This window comes from Homo sapiens, chromosome 2, assembly GCF_000001405.40.
Source record: "Homo sapiens chromosome 2, GRCh38.p14 Primary Assembly".
In the NCBI taxonomy this organism is placed as follows: domain Eukaryota; kingdom Metazoa; phylum Chordata; class Mammalia; order Primates; family Hominidae; genus Homo; species Homo sapiens.
Genome location: NC_000002.12, coordinates 72,881,526 through 72,896,482, shown reverse-complemented (window position 1 = coordinate 72,896,482; position 14,957 = coordinate 72,881,526). Strand labels below are relative to the sequence as shown.

Sequence of the window (14,957 nt, the reverse complement as noted above, 5' to 3'; positions counted from 1 at the left end):
GAGGAGGGCAATGTTCTCGGTGCCCCAGAGGGACCTGGGTGCGGGATACATTCCCAGAAGTGGGAGTCAGACATAAGAAGGACTTCCCAGCTCTCAGAGAAAAATCCCTGACTACCAGAAGTGACTGACACACACCAGACCAGGTGCTCATCACCCCCTCTCTGGGTTCCTTCCAGGTGGCATAGCTACCCAACATCTCGACCTGACAAGCAGGAGACCCAGCTGCTCTGAGAAGTGACTGCCCAGAGCCCCATGGCTGTAAGTGGCCGAGCCAGGCCACAGAAGCCAAGTCCAGCGGGCTATCTCATAAAGCTGGGCGGCCCCGTGGCCACTCCCTGTGCAGGAAGGGAAGGAGCAGACCTGCTTTCCAGGGCTTGGACTTCCTGGAGAGCCTCCGGGCCCTTGGGAATCTCCCTCTGCCGACCAAGTCCTCAGAATTCTCTGGGAGGAACAGGCATGCACACACTCTCACACTCACACACACACTGTCCTATGACAGCTTCTACATTTGGAGCTGACAGATGTGCAAGGTAACAGCTCGGCAACGCCTGTGCAGCTGAGGCCCTGGCGTCGCGAACGGGATTATTTCCAGCAAGGCTCAGGGCGGCTGCGTGAGTGCATGCCCGGGGTGTGTGTGTGTGTGAGTGTGTGTATGTGAGAGAGAGAGGGAGGGGGGAGAGAGAGAGGGAGTATGAGCGTGTGTGAGTGTGTGAGGGTGTGTGGCTTCTCCCGCCATCTCTCTCCCTTCGTCTAAATCTGTCTTACTACATTTTCGAATCTTTCTGCCTGTTTCCTCCCTGTGTTTCTGTCCCTCTCTCTATCTTCCTCTCTCACTGTCCAGCTCGCCCTGTCTCCGTCTTTGACTCTCAAGGTGTCTGCTTTTGTTTTTCTGCCTGGATGCTCCAGAGCAGAGAGGGGACTTACCTCCTCTCAACTCCTCACTTTGCCCTTGGTCCCTTTCGTGTGTCACCTGGGCAAGCCTCAAGGAGGGACTCTTAGAAAAAGCTCATTTTGTTCCACAAAATGATGCAGCTGTCCCTGTCCTTTGCATAGGGCTCCTGCCCTGGGGGTCAGATAGGGGGATCTGGGGTTGTCCTTTGGCAGTCCTGTGGACTAAGAGGCTGCTAGACAGCTTTCAGGTTAGTTAGCTGAGGAACCACGCTGAGCACTAAGGTCATCTGGGGGAGGAGCCCCCAAGGGATAGGCATTTCCTTCTCTCTCCCTTCCTCCTTTCCCCCAGCTCCTCACTGAAAAAAGAAGTCCGGGACTCTCCTGGCTCACACGAAGGGCTCTTAGGGCTGAAGATGGAGTTACCATGGATGAAAGGAGAGACAAAGGGTGAGGTAGGAGAGGCTGGCTGGGAAGTAACAATCATTCCCTCGTGGGAGTGGGCTCTACTTCAAAAGTCTGAGACAACATCTGTGCTGCTCCCCGCCTCCCAGCACCACAGGTGGGAGACCTCAGGACTGGGGAGTGGGGCAAGGATGGCTCGCTCCAGGCTCAGAGCCCTACCCTCCATCGGCTCCCCCAGCTAACCCCAGAGGTTCAGAGTGATTCCTCAGCTGGTTTCCAGCAAGCTGTCTAGTGGCTTCTGGTCCACTCCCCTGCTTTTACACCCCAGATCACTGAGAGATGATGTGAGGGCTGGAGAGGTGCCACCTCAGGGGGTTTCTACCCCAGGGGACTTGGAGTCATCTTCACCCACCTCCCTGTCATCACACGGGAGCCCAGTAGCGAGGGCACGCCTGGGCGCTTTTGGGTGTGCTCACCTGCCATATGAGTCAGAATTATCGCATGCATGCTAGCCTATGAGGCCATGTTCTATGGGAAAGGACGAAGGTGAAGGAGGCCAGGAGGCAGCATTCCAGGGCTTAGCTCTCTGGGGTGAGGCACGGGGAGATGCTAGGATGGAGTACATCCCGGGCGGGTGACCCTGATGGCTGACAACAGACTCAGCACCAGCCTGGGTGTGGGGGCACACATATGTATTCATAGGAGGAAGGACAGGAATTGGGGATTCGGGGGAACCTCTTGACCAGACTAATCCCAGCTGGTCATGCTCTTGGACACTGGCTTTGGCCTGGAATATTCCCCTCACTCCCCCTGCTCCTTACAGGCCAGCTGCTGGCCCCAGTGCAGGTGTATTAAACACAAAACCAAAAACTGCACAGCGCTCTCACACCAAAGACAAAGAGGAACCTCGTTTGTCTTTTAGCTCATCTATGGCCCTGCTCGCTCCAGCAGCTGGGCCCTGGGCATGTGCAGGCATGTATTTGTGTGTGTGCACTCACGTGTGCTCATGTGTGCGGTGGCCAAGGCCAGGTCATGCGGTTGGGGAACACAGATGGTTAGCCCCTGGAGGGTGGCTGCTTATGGCCTGGAGGCCGCCACAAAAGCCTCCATGCCTCAGTGTGGGTGGACCTGGGGAGGCTGAGTCCAGGGCTGGGAGCAAGGTCTGGGAAATCCCTGAGGGCAGAGACTGTGGGTCACTGAAGAGGCCTCGGGACCTGACAGGAAGAGTGATGCTGCCCATCTCTGATCTCCCCAATTCCCTGGGGGCCCGAGAGTCCAGAATCCTGGGCTGCAGGGAGAGATAGCCCAAGAGAGCACTTCCGAAGCTCTTACATCTCTGGGCTCAGAGAAGACAAATGTCAGGCATGGGAGGGCCTCGCCACCTCGTGGGGACAAGCGGTACTCCTCACTAAGCCCCTGGCCAACCAGCCTAGAGGGGAGGTACAGAGTCAACCCCGATGATCATCCACAAGGAGCTGGACTGGCACTGCCCACCCTCACACTCCCACAGGAGCAAGGGGCCTGGTGAGGAAACCTACCCACCACCCACCACGTCATGAAAGGCAGCCCAGGCTGCCATAATCCATGGCCTCACCACACTGGAAACACCTCAGACGAAGGTGTCCAGGAAAGAATCTTGGAGTTCACTGCTCTAAGGAAACTGAAGCCCAGAGAGAGAGCAGGGCTCTGCCCAACACCCCACAGCATCTCTGTCATAGACAAGGTAGTGGGACTGAAGGTTCCTGACTCCAAAGTTCACACATTTTCCTGTAAATCCAAGACAAGGTATCCAGACCAGACCCCACCCTCACCTCCAGGAGGCTGAATAGGGGCAGTACAGTGAGAGTTTTTGCCTCAAGTCAGGCAGGGGAGGATGTCTGAACTGTCTAGAGGAGAGGAGGCTTCCAGCAGAGTTCCAGGATGAGCTGGATCTTGATATTTAAAGGCAATAAATAATATTAGCATCTACAGGGCATTTACCACAATGCTAGCACTGTGCTGAACATTTACAAACATTAGGTCACTTAATGTTCAAAATAACCCTTCAGGGTAGGTGCCATTATAATCCACATTTTTCAGATAAGGAAACTGAGGCACAGAGAAGAAACTTGCCCTGGGTTACCAGCTGTGGCAGAGCAGGAACCTGAGCCCAGTGATTTCTACTTCGATGGGGGCATGAGGGCAAGGCATCTGCTGGACCAGGTAAAAGTTCGCCCATTCCCTCCTAGGGGAGCAGGCAGGGCACTGCCAGCTTCAGCCTAGGGCCTGCCCTTCAGCAAAAGGCGCGGCCTCCATGCGCCCTCTGCTGAGCACAAGGAGGAGTTCCCTTCTGCACACTCAGAGGCAGGCTGAGTCCTGGAGTCAGCGGGCAGGGGACCACGCTTCCTTCTCCCAAATATGGCCAGGGGCCAGGGTGCTGGCTGCAGACCACCACTGCCGTGGAGCTCGCAGCCCAGCCTATGTCTACCAACCTGCACAAGGATTGGCTTGGTTGCAGCCCTGATTTCTCAGAGCTTCCCTTTCTTGGAATCTTGCCCATCTCCCCCAAAGGCATGCTGGTCCTAAGCCCACCCCACTGACGACCTGGACCATGGGCCAGATGGACAATGCCAAAAGGGCCAATAGCAGCTGGCATCCATTCACAGCATTGCCACGTGGACAGGGGGTGGAATTGGCAATCCACAGAGTTGGGGAAAGGACCCAGGCTTTAGGGCCATGTGGAGGGCAGGCTGTAAGCTGGGCCCTAAAAGATGGGTATTCTGAATAGCCCAGGGTGAGAAAAGGGCTATCAAGGCTGGGGTCAGCGTGGGCAACAGCACAAAAAAGCAGGCATGCCGATTGTGGGCAACTTTGCACCTGGGCTTGCCACTGAGTGGGGCCTGATGACTGGAGGCAGATGGCCCCCGGAAAGCTCCCTAGGAAATAAGGACAACACCTCACTTTTGGGTTAACTGCCTTGGGAATGGCCTTGGGCCCAGTGAACCAGGCAGTCAGTCATAGGCCCTGTATCAGAGGAGAAAGCAAGCATGAAGAAAGGACAATCTGTATTTTATTTGTATCTGCCTTTGGCGTGTATACAGACACCCAGGAGCCCCTTCTCCCAGCCTGGGGGAGGGGTGGTAGATTCTGAAGGAAGGAGACATCAGAGTGAGGACACAAAGTTCAACAGAAGGTCCTGCTACCCTCAGCAAGGGGCATCTATGTGGGCTGGGACATGTACCGTCTGCCCTTCCTCCCATCCAGGCCATCTGCGAATCTACATGGGTCCTCCTATTCGACACCAGATCACTCTTTCCTCTACCCACAGGCTTGCTATGAGCAAGAGACACAACCTCCTCTCTTCTGTGTTCCAGCTTCTTTTCCTGTTCTTCCCACCCCTTAAGTTCTATTCCTGGGGATAGAGACACCAATACCCATAACCTCTCTCCTAAGCCTCCTTATAACCCAGGGTGCACAGCACAGACTCCTGACAACTGGTAAGGCCAATGACCTGGGAGCTCACAGCTGGCTGTGCCTGAGGGCAGGGCAGCAGGCATGAATGCTTCTATGTGTAAGGCAGGACTGCCCCTATGGCAGGGTGTGGGGAGCCACAGGGCTCTGGGGTATGTCTAAAAGTGGGGGCAAAAAGGTTCAGGAAGCCAAAAACATGGGCTTATTTGTCATAGAAGTCCACGTGGGCTCCAGACTTGAACTCGTCCTTTTCCAGTAAGCTCAGCAGTTTCTGGGCTGACACCTTGCAATCCACCAGCTTCCCCTTTGCCTTCAGCTCCTGCAGCCCTTTTCGCATGTCTGGGTCCACGGAGGTCTCCCGGGCCAACTGCTGCATGTCTGTGTCCAGAGGACCTAGAGGATGAAAAGGAGACGATGAGGGAACATGGCCAAGGCAGGGACAGAAGGTTTCAGGTCCCTGTTTTATGTCGGGGGTGGGGCTGAGTCAGGTCTGGCCAGAGGAAACACGTCATCTTGGCTGAAATGTGTGGTCAGGGTTGCCAAAGGCTCCAATTTGTCACCATCAAGTTCTGGACTGAAATTCAAAAGCCCACTGAACATGGACCCTCTAGACTACCATGTCTAAAACCAAGATTCTCATCTCCTGTCCAACCAGCACCACCTCCTGACATTCCCATTTCTATTAATGAAGTATTCTTTTCCCAGACTCAAAACGTCCATCACTTCCTCCTTCCCTCCCCCATCGTCCCCAGAGCCAACCAGGCACCAGGTAGGACCCTTCAGCATCTACACATCCCGACAATCAGGCCCTTTTTACAACCTTGCTTCTCTCCCTGCCTCAGCTCCTTCTGTAGCCCTCTACTAAACTCATTCTACTAAAACATCACTGGGGCCCAGCTGCAGTGGCTCACACCTGCAACCCCAGCACTTTGGGAAGCTGAGGCAGGAGGATCACTTGAGGTCAGGAGTTTGAGACCAGCCTGGCCAACATGGTGAAACCCTGTCTCTACTAAAAATACAAAAATTAGCCAGGTGTGGTGGCACATGCCTGTAGTCCCAGCTACTGTGGAGGCTGAGGCACTAGAATTGCCTGAGCCTAGGCCAAGTGCAGTGGCTCACGCCTGTAATCCCAGCACTTTGGGAGGCCGAGGCGGGCAGATCATGAGGTCAGGAGATTGAGACCATCCTGGCTAACATGGTGAAATCCCATCTCTTCTAAAAATACAAAAAATTAGCCGGGTGTGGTGGCGGGCGCTTGTAGTCCCAGCTACTCGGGAGGCTGAGGCAGGAGAATGGCGTGAACCTGGGAGGTGGAGCTTGCAGTGGCCGAGATCGTGCCACTGCACTCCAGCCTAGGCAACAGAGTGAGACTCCATCTCAACAAACAAACAAATAAACAAACAAAAACATCACTGGGATCACAACATTCCTCCGCTCAAAACCCCTCAACAGCTTCCCAGTAGCCTGGCCTAATACTCAAGGCATCCTAGTCTGCCCTCCTCTGGGCACACCTACTCTACAGGCAAACTGAAGACCTGCCACGCCCACAGTGAGCCTTCGCACCTTTATTTCCTTTCATCAGGAATGCCTTCCATCTGCCAACAACCAAGGTCAATGTCCAGTTCAGCTACCTCCAATAAAGCCATCTCTAGTCTCCCCACCTAAAGGAATTGTTCCCTTCTTGAACTGTTGCAAGCACGTTCTATTCTTCACATAGGAATCACTCATGCACCCCAATATTTGCAGTTAATGGTCCTCGAGGGCAGAACATCAGAGAATTCCAGGGTTGGAGGGAGAATTTATCTCCTGGTCCTTGACTATTTTCCAATGACCTGTGCATCCCTGCTGAGAGAGGACTTGCTGCCTTTCCAAACAGCCCATTCCATCTCTGAGCACCTGTTAGAACATTCTTCCTGAGACCGAAATGAAAACCAGACTGGCCTCTGCCTTGGTTCAGGCCCTGGGGACCTCCTGAAAATCTCAGCTCCCTCATAATGCCCAGGGCAGCCTCCTGAGACCAAACGCAGCCATGTGGACTTCTGGAGTCTGCTCTGCTCCTGGTTGTAGCTTACATTTGGTCACTGTTGTTTGTGCGAATCCTTGGGCTGAATTCAGAGTGGATGATGAGTTGAATGTTGGTTGTGAGAATAATTGTGCATGTGTGTTGGGGGGCAGGGGTGGTAGGGGCTGGGGTACTGGAGAACATGAGGAAGAACTTGAAAGCAAGGTGGGATCCAGCCCTGCCACATCTGTGCTTTGTGCAGGCCATTCTACCTGTCTGCCCTGGGAGCCTGACCCTATTCCCCAGGGACACAGGCTACTGGATTTCTGCCCAAGTTGCTCAGGCTTTCCATGGCTGCTCTGTCACCACCTTCTGATTGCAGCAACCTCAAGCCTAAAAGAGACTCCTCACTATTAAGACAGGGGCGCTGTGGCATCAGAAACTAGACCCAGTATCACAAGACTCCCTGTCCTTTGGCGTTCATGAGAGCAAGGGATCTATTCTATTTATCCCAGAATCCTCAATAGTGTTCCAGCACAGTTCAGCCAGGGATGGTCAGCACTCAACAAAGTCTGTCTGCTCTCCATACAGCTAGCATGTCCTGCAGCTTGCCTTAGTGTAGTGCTTTGCTAGGTGTTAGGAACACACATCTGCATAGTGCAAAGGCTTTCCTGTCAAGGGAGGGAAGGAGGCAAGCAAACATATGCAGACAATACAGTGTGGTCAGTCCTATTTAACAATGAGGCAACACTTCACAGGTCAGGGTCATTTTCACATACAGTATCTCATTCAGTCTTCCCAAGTGCCCTGTGAGGCAGGGAGCGTCTTCCCCATTTCACATGAGGAAGGCCTGGAACTCAAACCCCAGTCTTCTCCCAAACTCCATCTAATACCTCAGACCTTCCTGCCCCACCCTCCAGTCCAGGAAACTCCTCACTCTCTACCAGTATCCCCGGCCCCTGCCACCTCTATTTCCCCTGGGTCTGTATTTCCCCTAAGGGGTGATGGGTCAAGATTCAAGGACAAAATCCTGTGGGTTGTTTCCTGGAGGGGGCGGACTAGGCCGCTTGCCCAGCCCCCAGAGGCGCACCAGTGGGTTCTGGAGGACAGGGACGGCAGGACTTCCCACCTACCTGGGGCATAGTTCAGCACCCTCACATTAGGTTCCTCCAGCGCCAGGACCTGGAACAGCATATCACGAGCAGCCTTTCCTGCACAGTACAGCGCCCAGCCTTTGAAAGGTTGCAGGGCACAGAGGGACGAGATGTTAACCACGGTTCTGTTGAGGCCAGGACTGTCCGGGAAGGCCTTCAGGACGCTGGAAGTCAGGCAGAGCATGGAGGTCAAGTTCAGTGCCCAGTAGTTGTTCACTTGAGTGGAGTCACTCAGGTCCACGAAGCCTTTGGACACATCCCCAAGAGAGCCTGAAAAACCAACCCTTAGGAGTAACTCAGTGCAGGCGGGGCTTTCTTCTTCCCCAGCCCTCCCAAGTTCCTCCAGATATCCTCTTCCCATGCAGACCTAGAGGAGGAAGCTGCCTAGCGCTTCTGAAGAGGCTTCTCTCTTCCCCAGCTCTGCGGAAAGACACAGCTGGGGAACCTAGCCATCCCAAGCTGCAGAATGAGAAGGCACCTGCCTTGCCGTGGGGCTGAAGGAAAGCTCTAGCGGTCCTTTGGAGAAGCAGAGAGTTTACTTGTTTGGAGACTCCAAGCCCTGACTCAGGCCTCCGCCAGAGGGCGCAGAGCAAGGGGCTCGGGAAAGTTCTACAGGCGCTTTGGAAAACCCGGCTGGCCAATTTTCCAGGAAGTGGGGGCAGACTGTTGTCCCGACGGCACCGAGTCTTCCTGTACACCTCGCCTCCACTTGCTACTCAAGCTGGAACAACTAGGGCTTTAGATTTCTAGGCGTCCTATCTGACCCCTAGGAGTAGCCCTTAAATTCCCCAGCGGTGGAGGAAGTGGGCGCTCACATGGGGAGTCCGCTCCAGCCCCGGGGTCTTACCCGCGTTGTTGATAAGCAGCAGTCGCTGCAGCCCCTTGGGCCGGGGGAGCTCGCGCAGGGCGCCGAGCAGCTGCTGCAAGCCGGCCTCGGCGCCCAGGTCGGCGGGCACCCGCACCACGCGCAGGCCAGACCGCTCGGCGCCCAGCTCGGCCTCCAGCTGGCGCAGTGCCTCGTCGTTGCGGGCGCTAAGGACAAGCACGGAGCCGGGCGACAGCAGCGAGGCCAGGAGCGGGGCCAGCGTCCGGCCGAAGCCGCGGGAGGCCCCGGTCAGCAAGCACACAGCACGCCCCAGCCCGCCCTCCATGCTCCTGTTCTCCGCCGGCGGCGCTGGCACCCGAGACCAGGCAGGAGGCGGTGCGGCCGCGGGGGGCGGGACCGCTACGGGTGTCGGCGGGGCCGCCCTGCCGGGGCGGGGCGGGAACCTCAGGCTTCGGGCCGCGAGCGCCCAGGGGTGCTGGTTCCCTTGGGATCTGGTTCCCTTGGTTGCTGGTGGCGGAAGTCAAACCGTGGCGGTAGCCCAGTCCGTGCCAAGTGGGACAACAGAGAGGGCCGGCAGGCGCGGCCCACACGGAAAGCCCTAGCCCGGTTCCCAGCGCTGCCGTGTTCTTCGCCCGCAAGCTCAGCCTCCGGCTGGGACGCATGCTCGAATTTCCTCCCAGTTCCAGCCCTAACTTTGCACTACTGACCTCTTCCAGGGCAGGCCCTGCACTGGGTGCTGGGCGTCCCTGGTCGTGGCCAGTGAACACCCTGAATGAAGCTTATGCCTGTTTAGGAATTGAAGTCTCTGCTTGTTTGGGAGCTCACCGCTCTCTGGATGACAGGAGCTTCCTCTGGGAGAACCACAGTGGCTCCAAATGATATTAAAACCTTTCCCTTTTACTAGGCCCTGAGCAGCTCCGTGATCCCACCAGTAACCCCTGCTTCTCTGAGATTTCTGACTCCTGTCCCTAAAAGTGTGTTCCCCAGGATTCTGCTCCTGCTCATGCTACAGTCTCCCTGGCAGCAATTCCATCCACTTTCAGCTTCAAGTTTGCGCAATCATCTGTCTGTACCTCCAGGCAGGTGCTTCAGAAAAATCCACATTTTTTTTTTTCTAGGAGAGGAGGAACGTGAGACAAGTTGGCATGCAGCTACATATATTAAAAAGGAATCTCTTCATGGTTTCCTTCTTAGTGGCCGAGTGGTATTCCATTGTGTATATACATATGTCCAAATATTGTGTGTCAGTTTTTAAAAAACGAATCTCTTTAGAGTTTAGCAAGGGCAGTAAGTAACCTCTGATAACTTAGCCCAATTCCCCACAGGGCTGATCCCTCCCCTGGGGCTAAACAGCAAAGTTACCGCCTTTCCACTATTATTGCCAACTCTAAGGAAGAAACAACTTGGAGGAAGGCTTTTTTCTTTTCTTTTTTCTTTTTTTTGACAGAGTCTCGCTCTGTGGCCCAAACTGAAGTGCAGAGGTGTGATCACAGTTTACTGCAGCCTTGAATTCTTGGGCTCAAGCAATCCTTCCACCTCAGGCTCCTGAGTAGCTAGGATTACAGGTGCGCACCACCACGCCTGGCTAATTGTTTTTTAAGCTTTTGGTATTTTAACGCTGATAAGACTCTGTATATGTGTATACCATTTGAAGTTGCCCTGCTTTTCACTTACCTATTCACACTGAAGATAAAGATCTCATTGGCCCAACAGCTTACTATTTAAAGAATTTTAATAGCTTCTCCCTGCTCTCCAGGCCTTAGAAGACAGGTTGATGAAAGCACGATCCCATCCATCCATTCATTTGACATTTGTTAAATTTCTACCATTTGCCAGATTTTTGAAGAAAAGGAGGGAACAATGAAGGGATGGCAAAAAATCAGACCTAGACTCTTCTGAACCTAGCTGCTTCTAGGAGGAACCACTTGGGAACAGCCCCTAAGGAGAACGTGGTTTTCCTATACTAGGAGAGGGTCTGGAAAATTCTTCTTTTCTGAGGAAGATGATTATCTGCTCTCGCTAATTTTTGTGTTTTTTTATAGAGATGGCTCTTGCTGTGTTGCCCAGTGTGGTCTTGAACTGGACTCAAGCAGTTCTCCCATCTCAGCCTCCCAAAGTGCAGGGATTATAGGTGTGAGCCACCCCACCTGGCCAACAGTAACTCTTTTAAAAAGATACAAATGCCTGAAAGGTAAGAAATGTGTAAAAATTGTGTTAAAAACATAAGCCTGATAAAGGACATGGGTAGGGGAATGGGTGAAATTTGAATAAGGTCTGTAGGTTAGTTATTGGCATTGAATCATTTCCTGACTTTGACCAGTGAACTATTGTTATATCAGAGAGTGTTCTTGTTTTTGGAAGTACACAGAAGTATTTAGTAAAGGGGCATCATATCTGCAACTTACTTTCAAATGTTTCAGAAAAAAATTAGAATGAATAAGGCAAAGGTAAAATGTTAACATTTAGGAAATCTGCATTAAAAGTATTCAGGAATTCTTTATACTATTCTTGCAACTTTGTAAAAGTCTGAAATTATTTCTAAATAACAAAGTTTTTGAAATGAGTCATACTTTGGGAGGCTGAGGCAGGTGGATCACCTGAGGTCAGGAGTTCAAGACCAGCCTGGCCAACATGGTGAAAGCCTGTCTCTACTAAAAATATGAAAATTAGCTGAGCGTGGTGGCGTATACCTGTAGTCCCAGCTACTCAGGAGGCTCAGGCAGGAGAATTGCTTGAACCCAGGAGGCAGAAGTTGCAGTGAGCCAATATCTCACAACTGCACTCCAGCCTGCGTGACAGAGCAAGACTCCACCTCAAAAAAAAAAAAAAAAAAAAGCCATACTTATAAGTCAAAAGTAAAATGAAAAAGTGAGCAAAGTATATGAACAGACATTTATCCAAAGAAATTACACAAATGGTCAATAAGCACATAGAAAGATATTCAACATAATTTGCCATCAGGGAAATACAAATCAAAATTACGATAAGATACCACTTCATATCCATTAAGATGGCTAAAATAAAACAGACAGATAATAAATATTGGCAGGTTATATGATTTGGCTGTGTCCCCATCCAAATCTCATCTTGAATTATATTTCCCATGTGTTACAATTCCCATGTGTCATGGGAGAGACCCAGTGGAAGGTTAATTGAATCATGGGGGCGGGTCTTTCCCATACTCTTCTCATGATAGTGAATAAGTCTCATGAGATCTGATGGTTTTATAAGTGAGAGTTCCCCTACACAAGCTCTCTCTTGCCTGCTGCCATGTAAGATGCGCCTTTCACCCTTCACCTACCACTATGATTGTAAGGCCTCCCCAGACATTAATGGAACTGTGTTAATTAATGGAATGGAATTAACTGTGTTAATTAATGGAATCCACAGATTAATGGAACTGTGATTCCATTAATCCTCTTTTTCTTTATAAATTACCCAGCCCCAGGTATGTCTTTATCAGCAGTGGGCAAATGGACTAATACAGTAAATTGGTACTGAGAGTGGGGTACTGCTGTAATGATACCTTAAAATGTGGAAGTGACTTTGGAACCGGGTAACAGGCAGAGGTTGGAACAGTTTGGAGGGCTCAGAATATAAGAAATTGTGGGAAGGTTTGGAACTTCCTAGAGGCTTGTTGAATGGCTTTGACCAAAATGTTGATAGTGATATGGACAATAAGGTCCAGGCTGAGGTGGTCTCAGATGGAGATGAGAAACTTGTTGGGATTCACAGGATTCAAGTAGACATGTCTTTAGAGGTTGGGGAGGGGAGACACACAACTCAATCAACTAGGTGTGTGATAGAGAAGCAGGGCTTCCTCATTAAGAAATTTGCTAGACTATTGAGCCCCCAATCTTGGCTTTTCACCAAATTTGAAAAGCTTATTTTTGAGAGATACACACAAAGGAAGCACCAAACACATTTCAATGGATACATTTATGAAGACACTGTTTCTGTCATCCCAGTCATCACTTTAATGGCATGGAAGTTACTGGAGTGAGTAAAGCTTTTTGAAAAGCTTGGGAACAATAAGACTTCATGTAGCTCATGGGCTTTCTGGGCACATTTGAGTAAAGGGAAAAGGACTGGGAAGGATAAGCACACAGGGAACAAAGGTGTATTTGATAAAGGATGGCAATGAAGTGATCCTGGGCAGGGTTAGGAAAGCAGGCTTTCGTCCCTGCAGCGGCACTCCAACTTCAGGAGGTCCATGCTGGACAGCTCCCGTCTTTTACTAGTAGGTTGAAAGAAAGGAAAAGACAGCCAGGGTCCCTCTGCTTTCCTCTCTGCCAAGACTGAGCTTTTCATTACCCTCCCAAACTCATCTTTTCTTTATTGCTTCCTTTGCTCTGGGATTTCTCAATAATCTGTCACCTGGTGACAGCTGCTTTATGCGTATTTAGTTTCATTCATTCATTTATTTATGCATTCAATAACTATTTATTCTATTTATTGAGTGCCTACCAAGTACCAGGCTTTGAAGAGACCACATTCATGCTACTTATAGGTGCTGGAGATACATTAGTTTGCAAAATAGGCAAAAATTCCTGTCTTCCTCAAGCTTACATTCTTGGAGAGAGAAACAGACCAAAAATAAAAAAATAAAGTAAAACTTGTAGTATGTTGGATGCAGCTATGGTTTGAATGTGTGCCCCAAAGTTCATGTGTTGGAAATTTTTTTTTGAGACAGGGTCTCACTCTGTCACCCAAGCTGGAGTGCAGTGGTGCGATCTAGGTGCATTGCAACCTCCACCTCTCAGGCTCAAGAGATCCTCCCATCTCAGCCTCCTAAGTATCTGGGACTACAGGTGCATGTCACCATGCTCAGCTAATTTTTAATTTTGTTGTAGAGATGAGGTCTCACTATATTGCCCAGTCTGATCTCAAACTCCTGGACTCAAGCAGTCCTCCCACCTGGGCCTCCCAAATTGCTGGGATGTGAGCCACGGCACCCAGCCATGTGGTGGAAACTTAATCCCTAATGGAACAGTGTTGAGAGGTAGAGCATAATAAGTGATTAGGCCAGGTGGGCTCTGCCCTTGTGAATGGATTAATGTCATTGTCACAGGAGTGAGTTATTATTGCAGGAGTGGGCTTGTTAGAAAAGTGAGTTTGGGCTGGGCACTGGCTCATGCCTGTAATCCCAGCATTTTGAGAGGCCAAAGCAGGTGGGTAGCCTGAGCTCAGGAGTTCGAGACCAGCCTGGGAAACCCGGGGAAACCCCATCTCTACTAAAAATATAAAAAATTAGCTGGGCATGGTGGTGCATGCCTATAGTCCCAGCTACTCTGGTGGCTGAGGCATAAGAAGTGCTTGAATTCAGGAGGCAGAGGTTGCAGTGAGCTGAGATCGCACCACTGCATTCCCATCTGGGTGACAGAGTGAGATTCTATCTCAAAAAAAAAAAAAAAAGTTTGGCTCTCTCTTCTTCTTTCAATCTCACACATGCTCTCTTGCCCTTGCCCTTCTGCCTTCTGCCATGGAATGGTGCAGCATGAAGGCTCTCACCAGATTCTTGTGCCATGCTCTTGGGCTTCTCACCCTCCATAACTATGAGCCTAATAAACTTCTATTGTTCATAAATTACCCATCTCAGGTCTTCTGTTGTAGCAGCATAAAATAGACTAATACACATGATGATAAGTTTCAAAGGAAAATAAAACAAGGTTGGTAATTATGTAGTACTGAGGTGGAGAGTGCTTGCAATTTAATACTGGGTGATCAGAGAATGCCACATTGAAAGCATAGTATCTGAGAAGACAGCAGTAGGAGGTGGGAGAGTGACCCGTGCAGCTATCCAGAGGAAGACTATTTCAGGCAGAGAAAACAAAGCACAAAGGCTTCTAAGTGGGAGGGTGCCTGGGTTTTCTGAAGAACAGGAAAAGAGCAGGGTTGTTTTAGTAGTAGTAGCAAGGCAGAGAGAATTTAGATCAGAGAAGTCATGGAATGCCAGATTTGTACAGGGCCTTACAGGTGGTTGTAAAACTTTTCCTTTTATTAGGAGAGAGATGGGAAAGCACTGGAGGGATCTGAGCATAAGGAATCTGCTTAGACTCAGAATCATTCCTGCTTCAGTTTTGAGAATAAACAATAGACTCTAGGAAGGAGCAGGGAGACTATCTAGGAGGTTGTTTCTGTATTACAGATGAGAGATTCCAGAGATGTGATTCATTTGGGGATACATTTTGAAGACGAAGGCAAAAGGATTTGCTGAAGACATGGAGATGGC

The 14,957-nt window shown here is 50.9% G+C and overlaps 1 protein-coding gene across 1 annotated transcript, besides 6 other annotated features; it reads right to left on the bottom strand.

Moving 5' to 3' along the window:
• Positions 2,185-2,474: an enhancer, noted in NCBI's record as "active region_16022". NCBI's record gives its function as "activates an Ori minimal core promoter by ATAC-STARR-seq in GM12878 lymphoblastoid cells {active_cell/tissue: GM12878}" and the evidence as "EXISTENCE:reporter gene assay evidence [ECO:0000049][PMID:35858748]".
• Positions 2,875-2,964: an enhancer, noted in NCBI's record as "active region_16021". NCBI's record gives its function as "activates an Ori minimal core promoter by ATAC-STARR-seq in GM12878 lymphoblastoid cells {active_cell/tissue: GM12878}" and the evidence as "EXISTENCE:reporter gene assay evidence [ECO:0000049][PMID:35858748]".
• Positions 3,802-4,303: an enhancer, noted in NCBI's record as "H3K4me1 hESC enhancer chr2:73119309-73119810 (GRCh37/hg19 assembly coordinates)". NCBI's record gives its function as "activates a minimal SCP1, AML or CMV promoter by ChIP-STARR-seq in primed H9 embryonic stem cells {active_cell/tissue: H9 hESC(primed)}" and the evidence as "EXISTENCE:reporter gene assay evidence [ECO:0000049][PMID:30033119]".
• On the bottom strand, positions 4,325-9,075 carry SPR (sepiapterin reductase). The gene is made up of 3 exons (NM_003124.5): positions 8,747-9,075; positions 7,879-8,169; positions 4,325-5,136 (listed from the first exon to the last, which is right to left on the bottom strand). The coding sequence occupies exons 1-3, from the start codon at positions 9,048-9,050 to the stop codon at positions 4,946-4,948; spliced, it is 786 nt and encodes a 261-aa protein (NP_003115.1). The 5' UTR covers positions 9,051-9,075; the 3' UTR covers positions 4,325-4,945.
• Positions 8,021-8,195: a silencer, noted in NCBI's record as "fragment chr2:73115417-73115591 (GRCh37/hg19 assembly coordinates)". NCBI's record gives its function as "represses an EF-1alpha promoter that drives an FKBP-Casp9 reporter gene in an ReSE screen in K562 erythroleukemia cells {active_cell/tissue: K562}" and the evidence as "EXISTENCE:reporter gene assay evidence [ECO:0000049][PMID:32094911]".
• Positions 8,834-9,223: a silencer, noted in NCBI's record as "silent region_11626". NCBI's record gives its function as "represses an Ori minimal core promoter by ATAC-STARR-seq in GM12878 lymphoblastoid cells {active_cell/tissue: GM12878}" and the evidence as "EXISTENCE:reporter gene assay evidence [ECO:0000049][PMID:35858748]".
• Positions 12,872-13,032: a silencer, noted in NCBI's record as "fragment chr2:73110580-73110740 (GRCh37/hg19 assembly coordinates)". NCBI's record gives its function as "represses an EF-1alpha promoter that drives an FKBP-Casp9 reporter gene in an ReSE screen in HepG2 liver carcinoma cells {active_cell/tissue: HepG2}" and the evidence as "EXISTENCE:reporter gene assay evidence [ECO:0000049][PMID:32094911]".